Source organism: Homo sapiens, chromosome 17 (genome assembly GCF_000001405.40).
Source record: "Homo sapiens chromosome 17, GRCh38.p14 Primary Assembly".
Lineage (NCBI taxonomy): Eukaryota > Metazoa > Chordata > Mammalia > Primates > Hominidae > Homo > Homo sapiens.
The window spans coordinates 34,153,763-34,168,992 of NC_000017.11; the positions used below are offsets into that span (position 1 = coordinate 34,153,763).

Here is a 15,230-nt window from a genome sequence, read left to right on the forward strand (position 1 = left end):
GGAATGGACACTCAAATAGATTACTCTTGAACTTGCTGAGGACAGCAGATAATGACATGCCACTGACAGAGTAGTAAATATTATCCATAGGCAATTTCACTATTTGGGAAACATTACAAAGAGGTCAAAAGCTCAGGCGAACTTTAAGGCCTGATCTTAAAGACCTCTTGGGACCTCAGCAAGTAAAAAGATGGTCCAAGTATAAAACAATAGCCTGGGGTCAAAAAACATTTACTTCTAAATGGAACTTAGACATGGATTCAGAAGAAGCCACCAGTTGGACATGCAGTCAGGAGGAAGCTAGAGAACTCAACCCAGAGTCTGCTACTTATTACAGTTTCTCTCTGTGTCACCCTCTGTGTCGTCTGTGTGTTCCATGTGTGTTCAGGCAGACAGAGGAACAGCTGAGTGCATTTCCAAGCTGCACGGTGCAGTGGTGAAGCCGAGCGTTGCCAGGCGCTAGAAAGAACGGGGTGGAATATAGTGATGGCTTCAGCCTCCAAGAATAAGGCATTTTCTCTATCTCTCCTCAAGCCACCTAAGACATCATTTGTGCATGACATGTTTTAGGATCCTGTTTGCTGCATTTAGAAGAGCTTCCAATATTACTGGTCCCTTCTCCCAGCTCAGACTGGCTTCCTCTTTAGCATACACTACTGCCGATTTTGCTGTGCTCTTCCTCACAAGGCTTAAAAGGGATAATACAAAACAGCTCCTCCAAGAAACAGAGTTCTAGCACACAGACTGCGAGAGGCAATGCCCCCGGCACTCTGGGCTTTTTCAGAATCAGAGATAGCCAACAGCAATTACAGAGGCTACAGGCAGAGACTGGTTATGGCATTAAAAGAACCTCAGATCAAGAGGCTGGTGAATCCAAGAGGGGGTAGGGAATGGATGCAGCACAGGAAAGGTAAGCAATGTCTTCATTAGGCAGAGGACCCTAGACAAGTGCTGGATCACAGGTCAGCCCCTTCCCAACTGCTATACCTGCTATTCCCAACTTGCAATTGCATTTTGGCTCAACGTTCTGAGACTCAAAAGCTCTCAATCCTCCCTAAGGCAGCTATGGGGGAAGCAGCCACACTGGACTTCTGGAGGGTCCCACAGCCCCTGATACCCAGACGTGCCTGGCAGCAAACAGTAGTCAGCAGCTGCTGTATGACCTATTATGCCAAGTTATGCCTAGCAGCCCACTAACTGGAGAACCCTGGCAGCAACAGTGCTCCTCTCGTCCTTTCCTCTCTGCCCCTCCAGTAAGCCCCATCCTGAACGTAAGCCACATCCCCCTCCGCTTTTCCTCTTTACTCAGCTCCACACTCCTCCCCCAGGCTTTCCATTCCCACAGCTGTTCGCCCCCTCCCTGCACCCCTCCTCCTGCATCCACGTCGTTAAGTGATTATACAGAGAGAAAACCGAGCCTTTGAGTTTCAAGCCAAAGCTCCCAGACAAGGCAGCCGGGACTGGTTCACCCTCACAGGCATCTCCCTGACCCTCTTGCACACGTGCCTCCGCCCAGACCCTCCTCTCTGCCCAAGCACTCTGAACATCTCTTGGCTTCAACCTGCCAACAGATCAGATGGAGCCCTGGGGTGCCCGGCCTCTCCTCTCCCCACATGGAGCTTAGAATTCACACAAGGAAAGGAAGCAAGGAGACTTCCACACCTCTGCAGCATCACCTGCTCCAGCAAGCTCCCAAAGCCACCGGAGCCAGCCAGACTGCCTGGGCCCCACACCCCCTTCTCTGACGGCTTTAGCTCCAGCCCAGCCCACAGGATGCAGTGCCTGATGCCACTTCCGAGCAGAGAGAGACACACACGCACACGCACACGCACACACACACAGAATGCCACCTCGTCAATGACAAGCTGTTCCAATCACACAGCTCGGACACCAAGCGGACCGGACAACGGACAGCCCAGGCCTCCTCCCTCTGACTGGGAGGAAGCCAACTGAGCACGTCTGGGGAAGTGATCCCCCACCGCAAGCCCCCCACTCACCCTCCATATTTGATCTGACAGCAGTGCTCTATCCTGGCCGGTAGCCTTCCCTGCAACCAGCTCGCACAACTCTGACCAACTACCCTCGTGGCCTTCAGGTGAGGCACTGCTCTCTCTCCTGTCCCAAAGCACAAGGAAACCCCAAACCAAGCAGGAGACCACCGGCGCACCACTTCTCCAGAGGACCAGACAGAGTGAGCTGAAAACCAAGTACTCACTGTGGTGAAGTCTTGGTGGCCGCACTCCTGCCCTTTGAACTTGCAGTAGAGCATCATATCCTTCAGGTCATGGCCCACACGGTGCAGGAACTCCAGCATGCTGAACTGCTTGGGTTTGTAGTGCTTGAAGTTGGCCTTCTGCCGCAGGGCCTCCAGCACGGAGGGGTCAGCCAGATGGGGGTCCGGGATCTGCAGGTTGACATCCAGCAGGGCCAGCAGCTCCCCAGCATGGTACAGGTCATTGGTGGTGAGCCTGGAGAACCGGAAGCCATTCAGGTTACAGAGGGTCACAGCTGGGAAGACCAGGCTTTGAGCCACCACTTCGTCCACCTTAGTGACATGCTGGTAGGAGAAGTAGTAGGACACCCTCTCAGAGCTCTCCACCAGCAGCAGGCCCAGAGAGCCCACGAAGGCCACTGCCCACAGCACACGCCGGATGGTCAGCGGCCCATACACGAAGATGTGGCGGATGCCATGGAGGGTGGAGGTGTTGGCAAAGATCTGGATGCTAGAAGGTTGCAGGCTGCCCTCACTGGGGCTTTCCTTGAGGTCCATCGGGACCCCGTGCAGTTCCGCAACTGGCTTCAGGTTGATCGAATTTCAGAGAAGAGCTCCCAGTCCTCGGGCTCTGCTTAAACCTTGACGTTCAGGGGAGAGAACGCAAGGCAAGCATCGCGCCAGATGCTGTGAGTTTATCCTGAGAGCCCAGCCGCACGCTGACAGGGGTGAGTGTTTATATAAAACCCATTCAAACTCTAGCTCTTGATTTTTTCCAGGCGATAAGGAGGGCTGGTTTTATTTAGGGAGACACCAAGGTGATGTGGAAGAGATGTGGGTGGGAAGGGAGAGCTTAGCCAATGGAAATAAAGTCCTCCCCCCTACACACGCCACTAGAGACAAGATTAAAAGCGAGAGCGAGAGAGAAAATGCTTAAAACAAGTCGCTGAGCAGCTCGGAGCCTGTTAACCAGCGCATAATGCCCCATGTTAACCATCCTGGGGGATGTCAGGGCGGCCACGCTGATGCACTGCGGTCGGGCGCAGCGGCACAGCCTTCAGAGCCGCCGCCGCTCGGTTCCTTTTCCCATGATGTTTTGGACTCCGAATGCCGTTTCTCGCCGCCGGCCTCCGTCCCTCCTCTCCTCCTCCTCCAGGCCCCCTTTTGTGGGCAGAATTCCAAATGCCAGCGGCCGCTGCTAGCACCGGGGAGAGGAGGCAGCGCGCGGCGCGGAGAGGCGAGGACCGGTATCTGGAGACTGGGGACGGAAGCGGGGAGCTCAGACCGGGATCCATTCTCTCCTCGCCTCCTGGGAAAAAAGGGACAACCCCCAGGTCACAAAGCCTGCCTGCTTCCCCCGCCCCAGCTCCCTGTCCCTGCTAGGCTGCCTTGGGGGGAAGGGCAGGGCGGGGGAGAAGGGCTGGTGGGGGCTGGGGACTTTCTCCAAGTTTTCTTTTTAGCCTTTTTTGAAGGTAGCTAGTGGGGGCTTCTTCGAGGGTTGACATGACACCCCGCCCCCCAGGTGGCAGGAAGACAGTGCTAAACTCCTAGGAGCCAGGTGTGAGGTTGGAGGCGGCATTCCTTTGCATCAATGTCAGGGATCCCAGGTTAGACCCAGCCTGGGATCTCCAGAGGGGAGAATGCTAAAAATGCAGAAGGAAGGGGGCGATCCAAACCCACAGTGCCTCTGATGCAGACAGCGAGGGGGCATTCTAGGAGAGCAGCCAGGAGCCCCTCCTGAGACAGAAAAGCCAAGTTGCCCCTGGAGCCTCAGAGAAGGAGCAACAAGTAGTCGCCTCCCCCACCGCCACATAGCTGTCGGGAGAGTCTGTATTTGAAAGAGAAAGGCAACTGGGACTCCAGGTGGGACTGGCTGCATACCATTCCATTTGGGCAGTGTGTGTGTGTGTGTGTGTGTGTGTGTGTGTGTGTGTGTGTGTGTGTATTCTGATCCTGGATTTGTCAGATGGAAGTACATTTGGGCAGTGTGTGTGTGTGTGTGTGTGTGTGTGTGTGTGTGTATTCTGATCCTGGATTTGTCAGATGGAAGTACAGCCGGAACTATAGGTGGGAGCAAAGAATTAGCCTTTCCGCTGCCTACCTCTTTTTTCCTGAAACTCCACTGGCAGTCAGCTCCTGCTAGCAGGTGAGTGTGGCTCGCCCTATTGGCCCATGCCAGAGCTCAAATGGCTAGAACCTACTGAATCAATGGTGCTAAATTCCCATCAGAAGGAAGGGAACAGAAAGTCTGAGTGGCCATCCCAAGCCACACTGCCAAGCTGGGGCAGAGCCACATGGAGTCACCTTGATGAGCCAAGCTCTCATCTTCAGGGCTTTCCAGGCTTAAATCATACTCCTTGGACAATGTTGGAAAAGAAGGCAGCTGAGGGCACGTCCCTCTAGGTTTAGCTCTACTCTGAAATATGTTTTCATTCCATCTGGACCCCTGCTAAACTAGGTCCACTGACAAAAACATCCAGGTGCACTCTGAAGCAACCTGTAGCATTAAATCAGTGGTTTATTGATCCTGGGAGCTCAGAGAACAGAAGCATCACAAGCAAGCACAATGGCAAAGATTGATAAACTTCACATATTCGTTAACCAAGAGGTCCTGGACTCCTAGGATAGGACACAGGTTTTTAAAGCAGGAGGACCAAAATTAACAAAGGTCTACCATGTGTCAGGACCTGTGTGAGGGTGTCATATCATCTTACTTATCCCTCTTAACTATCTTGACAGGTACATGTTCTTGTTATTATCCCTATTGTACAGGTGAGGAAGCTGGGGCTCACAAAAGTAAAGTGCTGTGTCCAAGTTACAGTTAGTGGTGTCAGAGGTGGGACTTGAACTCAGGCATATTTGTCTCCAAAATGCAAGTTGTTAAAGCAGATCCGGAACACTTCTTCCCAAATTTAGGAAAGGAGCAGTCCTTTCTATGCTTTGTCCCTGATTACACACACACACACACACACACACACACACACATCAGTTCCTCACTTGTATTAAACATCTCTATGCCTTTTTTTCTACCACACCACATCTCTGTTGTCCTTTTTTTTTTTCCCCAGCTCCAGGCCCTCTCCTACAGGAAGACTTCCTGGATTAATCTGCTAATCTTCAGCTCATCCACCTGTTTAATAGGTATGTTGGCCTCTAACTCTATACCAGGCACTGTATGGTTTTGGGGAAACAAAAGTAAATGAGATACATGTCCTGCCTTTGATAACTCAAGGATCAGCGGGGGAGGAGGCAGAGAGATAGGTACACACACAAGTCCCTGCTCCATGGTGTGGATAGCGAGAGAAGCAACATGGCTCATGGGTTCCTGGGATTAGCACTGCCCAGCTGGAAATCATGCTGCTCCATATCTGTTCATGTTCCTTCCACCTCCAGCCCTCTCCCAGGCTGTGTTCCGCCCTCCTCCCCAGCAGCCCAGATCTGTTTTCCCCATGAAGCCTCTTCTTTTCACAGGATCATATTTTCTCTCAGTTCGTGTCCCAGACATGTTTTCTCATGTGTGCCGAGATGGGTCTCAGAGTTGCTCTAATTGCTCCTTTCCCATTTAGACTCTTTGACTGCTTACCTCTACCCTTCGCCATTTGTTTGTTTTGAGGATTACAAACATAACGTGATGCTCTGTGACCTTGGGGGAAGTGACTAAACTTCTCTGAACTTCAGTTTCCCCACCTCCAAAATGATGGAGCTTAGAATGCCTGCCTCACAGAACTTTTGTGCAAATGAAACGAGATATAGATTATAAAGTGTCTGGTACAATTTAGACACTTAGCAATTGACACTTTCTCTTGATGACTACGAAGAGAACATTCGTTTTTGATGTTGGCACTCTCTTACAGGTGATTGGAGAACCATTTATAGCTCTAGAAGACATCATTTGCCCAGAGCAGTGTTTACCTGTTAGTGTCACCATCCCTTCCTGTAGGCCAGTGTCAAACACACTCCTCACACTACTCTGCTTCCTGTCCATGGCCTTAAGGTCTTCTCAAGGTCTTCTGAAGCAGCTCTTGACTAAAGCTTTCCAAGAGGGTGAGGCGATTTAGGGTGGGAAGGGGGGACTAGAAGAGAATAGCTCTAATGGTGCATTTCACAGCCGGGCACTTGGCTCTGTGCTTGACATTTGGCGGACATTATCAGTAACTCTGAGAGGAGGGTATTGCCAAGCCCATTTTACAGATGAGAAAGCTGAGTACAGAGAAAAAAGCTAACTTGCCCAGGGTCCCTCAGCTGAAAAGTGGCAGAGGGCTTAAATGTCAAACCCAAGTGTGTCTGAGTCTGAAGGGTGTGGTCCACAAACTCAATAGAAATGCTTCAACGAGACCTCAATAGCACAGACCATGATGGCAACAGTCTTGAACAGGAACTGAATTATAGAATATTCTTTAAGAAATACTGCTATAACATTTTCTATCACATGTAGCAATTCAACTTGATGGCTAATAAAACGTTTCCACATATCTTCTTAAAAACACTCTTTAATTGATAATACTCACTCGCAGTTAGCAGTATGGTTTACATAAAGGCATCAGATATTCTATCATTCTTAAAAATGCTTTTGTGTTATTCAGTTGGTTAAGCATTCCCCTCTTCAATCAGGTTTACAATACCTATTTGCTTGGCACTAGTGGTAACAGAGATTGGTTTTAGAGTGGGTCAATTTGGCCCAGATTTGTAAGCATTGACCTAATTGTGTATAATTATGGTCTTTTTGGTGAAGTGTATGACAAGACATTAAAGAACTTTTCAGACAAACTCATTTGCAAATCAGGCAGTTTAACCCCCTATTAGACCACATGCCCATATTTCTGCTGTGGCAAATTTATTCACTTATGAATGAAGTCAGGAATTAATTAACTTTCTATGACCCTGAAATTGCTACTCTGAGACGCAAGGAGGGGGACCCTCTTCTAACCCTGGGGAACCTAAGGCCAGTCCTGAGCCTGGTTTCTGGGGAGGGTTAGAAGCTCAGGGTGCAGCCTCCTGCCTCTGCAAAGAGTAACAGGCAGGAGAGTTAAGGAAACTGAGATCTACAATCAGCTCAGCTCGAATGCTAATTTGCTACTTAACATGTGCTAGGTACATGCCATGGCCACCACCTGCTCATTAAAGGGGAAAAATCATTCTTTGCTAATAAACAGATGACATTATAATTTGAAACTCGGTGATCTCAAAATACAACTTTTCCCTCTGATTTGTCATTCCCATAAAGAAGGGTTAAAGATCAACTATTGTAAAACCAAAGCATCTCTTTGCTGTTGGTTGGTTTATAAATAAACGCCTCATACAACACGTATTCCCATTTAGTCAGCTGGTGAACACTTAGCAAGTAATTTGTCATGACAGGTATACCAGGGAAGGATGTGAAGCAAAGCCAGACGTTTAATGGGTAGTTTACTGAGATTTTGTCTATAGCTGGTTTTCTTTTTTCTTTCCAGGCAAAACCTACAGAACTAGTCCACACTGAGTGGACCTCTGGGGCTCCCAGCTGCCGATTGACCTGAACCCCAGAGTGAACTCGTGTTGCTTTGTGGCTTCAGGAAACCTTGGAACATCTCTGTGCTGTTTTTTCATTTGTGCTCAATCATTCCTGAGGCCTCCTCCTCCTGCTGCAATTTGACAAGACTTGACCAAATCATTAACTCCCAGTTAATGGGATAAAATGAGTTTGAATCTGGGATTCTGGTCATTAACCCCATGTCACCATCTGCTCCAGCAGTTTGATGGCAGGGCTAGGTGAATTCTAATCACCCAACACTTGTTAAACTGCTGATTCCTGCTTCCCCACCTCTGCTGACTCAGCATCTCTGGGGTGGGGCCTGCAAAGGCTCTCTTCCTTGACGGGGTTATTGAGGGCAGCTCTAGGAACCCACCCAGGACCAGACCTGATGAGGAGTTCCTCCTATGCATCAGGTATGCTGGGTCGGTTTGCGGAGTTTCATAACTTGCATTTTCCTCTGCCTGGAGAGTTCCTTGCAGCTGGCTTCTTCTGTGTCACGGCCCCACAGAGATCTTGGCTGGTCTCCCTATCTCCACCCTCCACCATGCTCACTATTCCATTACAAGTTTCCTTTTCTACCCAGTACTAATCATTTTCTGCAATTCATCTCATTTCCTTGTGAACTATCTGTTGGTCCTACCAGAATGTAAGTCTCCACCTGGGGGCAGAGACCCTGCCTGGCTTGTTAGAAGCCATATCCCCAGGATTGAAGCATATGAGAGATGCTCAGAAATACAAGAATTCATGAACAAATGAACACGAGTGAATTCATTCAGCTCTGATGCTGAGGCTCCCTCTCTGAGATGAAAGAATGGGGAACCTTCTTCTAATCCTGGGGAACCTGGGGCCTGCCCTGAGCCTGATTCCTGAGGCAGGTGAGAGGCACCTCCTACCTCTCAACCCTGTCTATTGTTACCCCCAGCACCCAGGGAAGACCTCACTGGAGCCTGAGTCAGTGCAGGGGGCCAAGAGGAATCTGTGCACCCAGAGAATCTTGGCTGAGTTACCTGATTTTAAAACTCCTGACTTAAGGTGCTATTGACCAAGTACTCCTTAGCTCCATCGCCTACAAAACCACAGGTGCAGGTGAAAGTTGAGTTTAGGTATGAACTGAATACTGTTTAGCTACCCTATTTAAAAAATTGTTTTCATTTGTTTGTTTGTTGAGACAGGGTCTCACACTGTCACTCAGGCTGGAGTGCAGTGACATGGTCATAGCTCACTGTGGTCTTGAACTTCTGGACTCAAGCTCTCCTCCTGCCTCAGCCTCCTGAGTAGCTGAGACTACAAGGTGCCACCACATCCAGCTAATTTTTAAAACCTTTTTTGTAGAAATGGGGGCTCTCCCTATGTTGCCCAGGTTTGTCTCGAGCTCCTGGCCTCAAGGGATCCTCCTGCCTCAGCCTCCCAAAGCAGTGGCCACAGGCATGGGCACTGCACCCGGCCAAAAGAAATATTCTGTCTTCGCTTCCAACTTGAAATGGACTGCTTACCTTGGCACTTCCCATGCCGGCTTCTCTCCACTTTCCAATCTAACAGGATAATGATGTCATACAGAAATAACTTACAGTAGGTATTTAGTAAATGCTGGTGTGCAATATGGAATAAAATTCACAAGAGGAATTCCAAACTGTTCCTTATCCTCAAATCATTTTTTAATAGCCAAAAAATTAGTCTGAAATTTGAGTCCTCGCCCTTCAGTGTAAAATCAGTAGCTTTTAATTTTCCCTTATTTTGTTTGCTTTAAAGAGGCACACCTACCTATAGTCCCTTAGTCATGTAAGGGCTGACCCCTCCCACTGGTCTAAAGCGGGGCTTCTGGACCATGCCTGACCACAGCCATCTGATCCTGAGGAGCCTTTAACCCAGTACTTCTGTTTAAAGAAACAAAAGTCCTCTCCTAAATAAACAAAGCAGGCCTGACTCAAATCTCTCCGATGGGTAAAGGAAAGTACCCAGGAGCAGGAGGCTTGGATTTCTGATTTTATTTCGTGTCATTTCCCTTCCTCAAAGGTGTGAAACTCCACCCCACGCCACTCCTTTCCTATTCATCCTCTACTGGATGTTTTTTCCTCTAAATAATTTTTATTTTCTATTTTTGTCTGTATGTGTTCTCCTCTTTTAGTCTACTTCTGTCCCTCTTTCCCCTGCGAAGGAAAAATAGAAGAAAGAAGCCATCTCTGTTTGCTTTCTCCCTGTCACTCAATCTCTGGAGCCAACTGCTTCACAAATAAAGAGAAGTGCACAGAGAGTCCCTGAAGCCCACCATCAACAGACAGGCTTTCAACAAAACTGTATCAGCACCGCCTTGGCCATAGCTACACTCTACAGAAAATGGGAGAGAGGAACAGCGCTAGAGAAGTTTGTCCTTGCCTGGTTCCCGGGTGGAACTTCCTCTCCCCCTTGTGTTCTATGCGTGTGGTTACAGCTGCCTCTGATCTTTGGTGACCAGCGGTTGGCAGTGGTGGTATTTCAGCATACCTTGATCATCGTGCTTATTACACAGCCTCCTTTACCATCAACCCTACCTACCTTCTTCTAGCCATGCCCCCCACCTCCTCCCGTCTCTATCCATCTCTTCGCTCTTTTAAAAAATACTTAAGTGTGTACAGATCACAGTGACTTCATTTGTGTGCCCATTCACATTTGATGACTTCCATAACCCCCATACAAGTAGTTGTGTATTCGTTTTAATTCACTTTATTTATTTCCTAGCTCTTTCATAAAATAAAATGAAATATAAGTAATGAAATGGGAATAAAAAAGAGAAAAATAGAATTGAGGGGGAAAAGGAGAAATGCATCTATGTTTGTGATCACGTTCATCTTTCTCCATGCATCAATATGCATACTATTATGAATTCATTGCACGTATTTTAACATGTAGGCACTACATGGGGATGTGGTGTCTACATACCACCTCTATAGTGGTAGGCACTGCAAAGGGACATACAAAAGGTAAAAAGCATAGTCTCTACTCTCATAGGACTTTTCATCTCATGGATGTGGCACTCATAATGTCTTTTATCTGTGTCCCACTTGATGTGAAACTCTTTAGTAGGCATGATCCTATTTGATTTCCATAAGCAGAAGAGGGGTCACTGTTTCCATGTTATGAGAGAGGAAACTGAGGTTCAGAGAGTGAAAGGACCCTGATGAGATAATGGAACTGGGGCTCAAATCCTGGTTTCCCGACTCAACATTTCACATTCTTTCTACTCTGTCATTATTCATTAGTCAAGTTTCTCCACAGACAACTCACTGAGCCACAACATATGAAGCAGCATGGTAATGCCACTAGACTGGTCATGATCAGAAGATGTGGCCCCAGGGAAGAGAAAGCAAGAGAGCTGGAGATAGCAGAGAAAGCACCAAGGAAGGGCTTGGCCGTGCAGCTCTAGCAGGGAGGTCCTTCCTTTCAGCCCCCAAGTGTCCCTCTGTGTCTCATCTAAAAAGCAAAAAAAGAGGAGAACTAGAGCTTATGGTTGAAGGCGTGAGAATGAGGTGTCTTTTCCCTCTATCTCTGTAATATACAAGTATAAATACTATATATACATATGTATATGTGTTCCTTTTTTCTGTGTCTGATTATGCATGCAATTTAGCAAGGATTTATTGCCTAATTTTGGTCTGGGCACTTTGCTAACGCAATGGGGGAGGATACCAAGAAATTAGGGACTCAGCCTCATTGTCCCCAGAGACTCCTGGGGGTGGGCAAGGCACGGTGTCTGTGCATACTGCTGGGGGAGCTCTGGATTAGGGGACATCAGGAGACATGACATTGAAATGTCCTACTCAGTTCTCTGTACAGATTGGATTTCCGTGGAAGAAAGAAAATCAACATGTATTGGGAGTCAACATCTCATTCAGTCCTGTGAGTTTATTCTGCCTATTTTTCAGACAAGGAGACTAAGGCTTCAAGACGGTAAGTAAATTGCCCACAGTGTCACTGCTGGTGTGGGAATGAGCTTCAGGGTCATTGAGTCATGCTGCTGCCCAGGTACCCTGTAAGGCCGTCAAGTGTTGTGGGTAAGGGTTTTGGTGCTGACGTTCAGGTGATTGTGAGTTTAAAGCCTGGGCCCACCCACACCAGCAGTGTTATTTGAAGCATGCTATTGAACGTGCCTAAACTTCCGTTTGCTCATCGGTAACATGGGAACAGTAACAGTGCCTACCTCATAAGACTGATGGGAGGATGTGATCAGCTAAAGTGTGTAAAGTACCAATAAGTATCTAATAAAGTTCAGTAACTATGTCACTATTAATACCACTGTTATAATCACTACTTTTGTCTAAAGGAGACCCAGGTGACATGAAGCTATTATGCCCTGTGGACTTGAGATCTTGAATTAGGGTTTGATTGTGAGACTACCAGACAAGCAGTGGGATTTAAATATTCATGGACCAGGGTCCATCTAGGTCTGATGGGACAAGGAAGGGACCCTCACAGTTGATTACCCTGAGATGGGAGAGGAAACTCTGCTAGAGGCATTTACACCTTACTAAGCATTTCTGGTGTATCAAGCTCTCTGCTAGCTTGTGAGGATGTAATGTTCATTAAGACATGTTCCCATAGGCTCTGGTCCAGCTTCTACCAGTTTTTAGCTGGACCACTGGTTTCTCCTAAGACAAACATAGGAGCCAGATGACTTCTGTAGTGCCTTGTAGACCTAGTCCAGTCCTTGGTGGTTCTGTGAACACTCACCTTGGCTCTGTCCCATAGAAGTACCAGGAGTCTTCCCAGGGGAGAGATTAAGAAACTCTTGCTCCTTCATCCTCTGTGATGGTTTGGAGCCTGAACAGCCTCCAGCCTAGGCCAAGTGTTCTTGGAGGATTCGCTTCTTTATCCCAGTCCCTCATCAGTGCCTCCTATAAGAGCCCCACCTGCTTTACTGAGCAATTGACTCCTACATCCATATATCTCTACCACTCCTCAAACCAAACTGCCAACCACCTCTAAGGCAGCTATTGATTTCACTGACCATAATGGAGTGTGTTCTCCATTATGCTGTTTAGTCACAGCACTAAACATCAGAAGGGATTCAAAGAGGAATCAGGCTAATGCCTTTCATCCAAGGAGCTGACAGATGGATGAGCCAGACTGGCATGCACACAGTCAGCACAAGGGAATAGGCTGTGATGGAGCTGGGTGTGCAGGGGACTGAGAGTGGAATTAGCATCCAGTTTCCAATCCTACTGCTGTAGCTGGCATTAAGGCATTCTATTACTCTCTCCAGACACAATCAACTTTATTCTTCAAGGTAGACACTTGCTATATGCCAATAACTATGCCAAGAATGTATACGCATTATATTAGTTAATGAGAGTTTCTCAACTTTAACACTGTTGACACTTTGGGCTGGATAATTATTTGTTGTGGGGAGCTGTCCTGTGCATTGTAGGATGTTTAACAGAACCCTTGGCCTCTATCCACCAGACACCAGCAGCGCCACCCCCCTTCCCCAATTGCAACAACCAAAAATGTTTGCAGACATTGTCAAATGTCCCCTGGGGACAAAATCATCCTCAGTTGGGAACCACTAAATGAATCCTAATATAGACCAGTGACATAGGTACAATGATCATTTCCACTTTACAGTAAACTGAGGCATAACAAGGTTAAACCATATGTCCAAAGTCACATAGCTAGGAGCTGGAAGCAGGGCCAATCTGTTTCCACAGCCCTTAAGCTTACTGTCCTCCCTGTTTTGCCTATCTCTGCATGCATGGAGCTAAGGACTCTGTAATACTCAATAAACCCATGCAAAGATGAACCATTTCTAATGGCAAACCCTGCTGTTTATATTGCATTTACTATCTTACCTTCCATAAACCACACAACAACTCTTCAGTGTAGCTCCTGCTCCCATTTTATAAAGGAGCACACTGAGACCTGGATTGACAGAAAGGGATTGCCCCAAGTCACAGAGCAGAGCAGCTACCAGAGGCTGGCTTTGGGCCCACGTCTTGTAATTCTACACTCTCCAGTACTCAGAGAGTTGAGTAAACACCGATTAAACTATAGGAGGCTGGCAGGCAACTTAATAAAAAAATAAATGCAAATCCAGCATGATGGATATATTTAGCAGATAAATTATTATGTGATGGTATAAAAATAGATCAAGGGAGAGCACATGAAATTGCAAGCCTGACTGTGTGAGAGACAGGGAAGGCGCATGGAGAGCGTCGGGTACATTTAATTAACTTTGCTGGGAAAACATTCACAGGCTGCCACCTGAAACCAAAACATTCATGGGCTCCACTTAAAGTCACAATACATGTAGTCCTATTGGGAAGAGTTATAATCCAATAGAGCTTGAAGTCATTGATTAAAACAATGTCAGTGCTCAAATGCTTTGATGTGTAAACCCAATTCTCACCCGTATATAAGATAACCAGGCATGCATTTGTGGTCTGTGTGACCCATAAGCTCACTGACATTAAAATGTCCCACTCAGCTTTCTGTACAGATGGATTTCCACGGAGAGAAGGAAATCAACATGTATTGAGAGTCAACATCTCATTCAGTCCTGTGAGTTTATTCTGCCTATTTTAGGCAAAGAGACTAAGGCTTCAAGAGGACAAGTGAAATGCCCATAGTGCCACTGCTGGTGCAGGAATGAGCTTCCGGAAAGAGTCAGGTTCATTGAGTCATGCCACCACCCAGGTGCCTTGTGAGGCCACTGAGTGTCGTGGGTAAGGGTTTGGGTGCTGCCATCCAGATGACTGAGTTTAAATCCTGGACCCACCCACACCAGCTATGTTACTTGGAGCATGCTATTGCCCTTGCCTAAACTTCAGTTTGCTCATCTGTAAAATGGGAGCAATAAGTGCCCACCTCATAGGAATGATGGGAGAATGTAATGAGCTAAAGTATGTAAACCATTGATAAATATCTAATAAAAGCTTGCAATGATAAGATGCCGTTATTAATTACTATAATACTAATGTCTAAAGGAGCCCCAGGTGGCATGGAGCTATACCCTGTGGACTTGTGATCTCTGTTCCATGCCAAATGGAAAGCATACAGTCATGAATCAGGGTTTGAGTGTGAGAGCAGACAAAGAGTGAGATTTAAATATTCATTAGTCAGGGTTCATCTAGGTCCCTGGGGACAGGAGAGGATTCTCATGATTAATTTCAGGGGCCTTTTCCCTGAGATGGGGGGGGACACTCTGCTATGGTCATGTACACCTTATTAAGCACTGCTTGAAATCCTCCCTACCACAAAAGTGCTGTGATTTCAAGGTTTCCCTCTTTTATGGGAAAACCATAGCACAAGAATCTACACTGTAAACCCTATGCCTACTTAAGCCCAGAAGGAGCCTGTTACCTCATAGAATAATCTTATTTTGCCTTCAAAAGAAGCAGTTATCAAGTGCTCGCTGGGCTTCAGCTGTTTTCACATCCATTTTATTTTGAAAGCAACTGCCCTGCAGATCTTGTGACCCTTGACTGATAGGCGAGGCACCCGAGAACATGGGAACGAATGCATGTGCTCGTGGTT

The 15,230-nt window shown here is 47.3% G+C and overlaps 1 protein-coding gene and 1 long non-coding RNA gene across 2 annotated transcripts in view, besides 2 other annotated features; one reads left to right on the forward strand and one right to left on the reverse strand.

The window, feature by feature from the left end:
- ASIC2 (acid sensing ion channel subunit 2) overlaps positions 1–3,006 on the reverse strand; it is a 1,143,682-nt gene extending 1,140,676 nt beyond the window's left edge. The window contains exon 1 of the mRNA NM_001094.5: positions 2,216–3,006. Within this exon, the coding sequence (NP_001085.2) occupies positions 2,216–2,770 (555 nt within the window). The 5' untranslated portion in view covers positions 2,771–3,006. The remainder of the gene's footprint in view (positions 1–2,215) is intronic.
- Positions 1,837–11,988, forward strand: LOC105371735 (uncharacterized). Its single transcript, NR_188344.1, has 4 exons — positions 1,837–2,940; positions 5,281–5,353; positions 7,663–8,137; positions 9,850–11,988. It is a non-coding gene; the product is annotated as an uncharacterized LOC105371735 (long non-coding RNA).
- Positions 2,865–3,023: a silencer, noted in NCBI's record as "fragment chr17:32483646-32483804 (GRCh37/hg19 assembly coordinates)". NCBI's record gives its function as "represses an EF-1alpha promoter that drives an FKBP-Casp9 reporter gene in an ReSE screen in HepG2 liver carcinoma cells {active_cell/tissue: HepG2}" and the evidence as "EXISTENCE:reporter gene assay evidence [ECO:0000049][PMID:32094911]".
- Positions 3,323–3,877: an enhancer, noted in NCBI's record as "H3K27ac-H3K4me1 hESC enhancer chr17:32484104-32484658 (GRCh37/hg19 assembly coordinates)". NCBI's record gives its function as "activates a minimal SCP1, AML or CMV promoter by ChIP-STARR-seq in primed H9 embryonic stem cells {active_cell/tissue: H9 hESC(primed)}" and the evidence as "EXISTENCE:reporter gene assay evidence [ECO:0000049][PMID:30033119]".
- Positions 11,989–15,230: the final 3,242 nt, after the last annotated feature.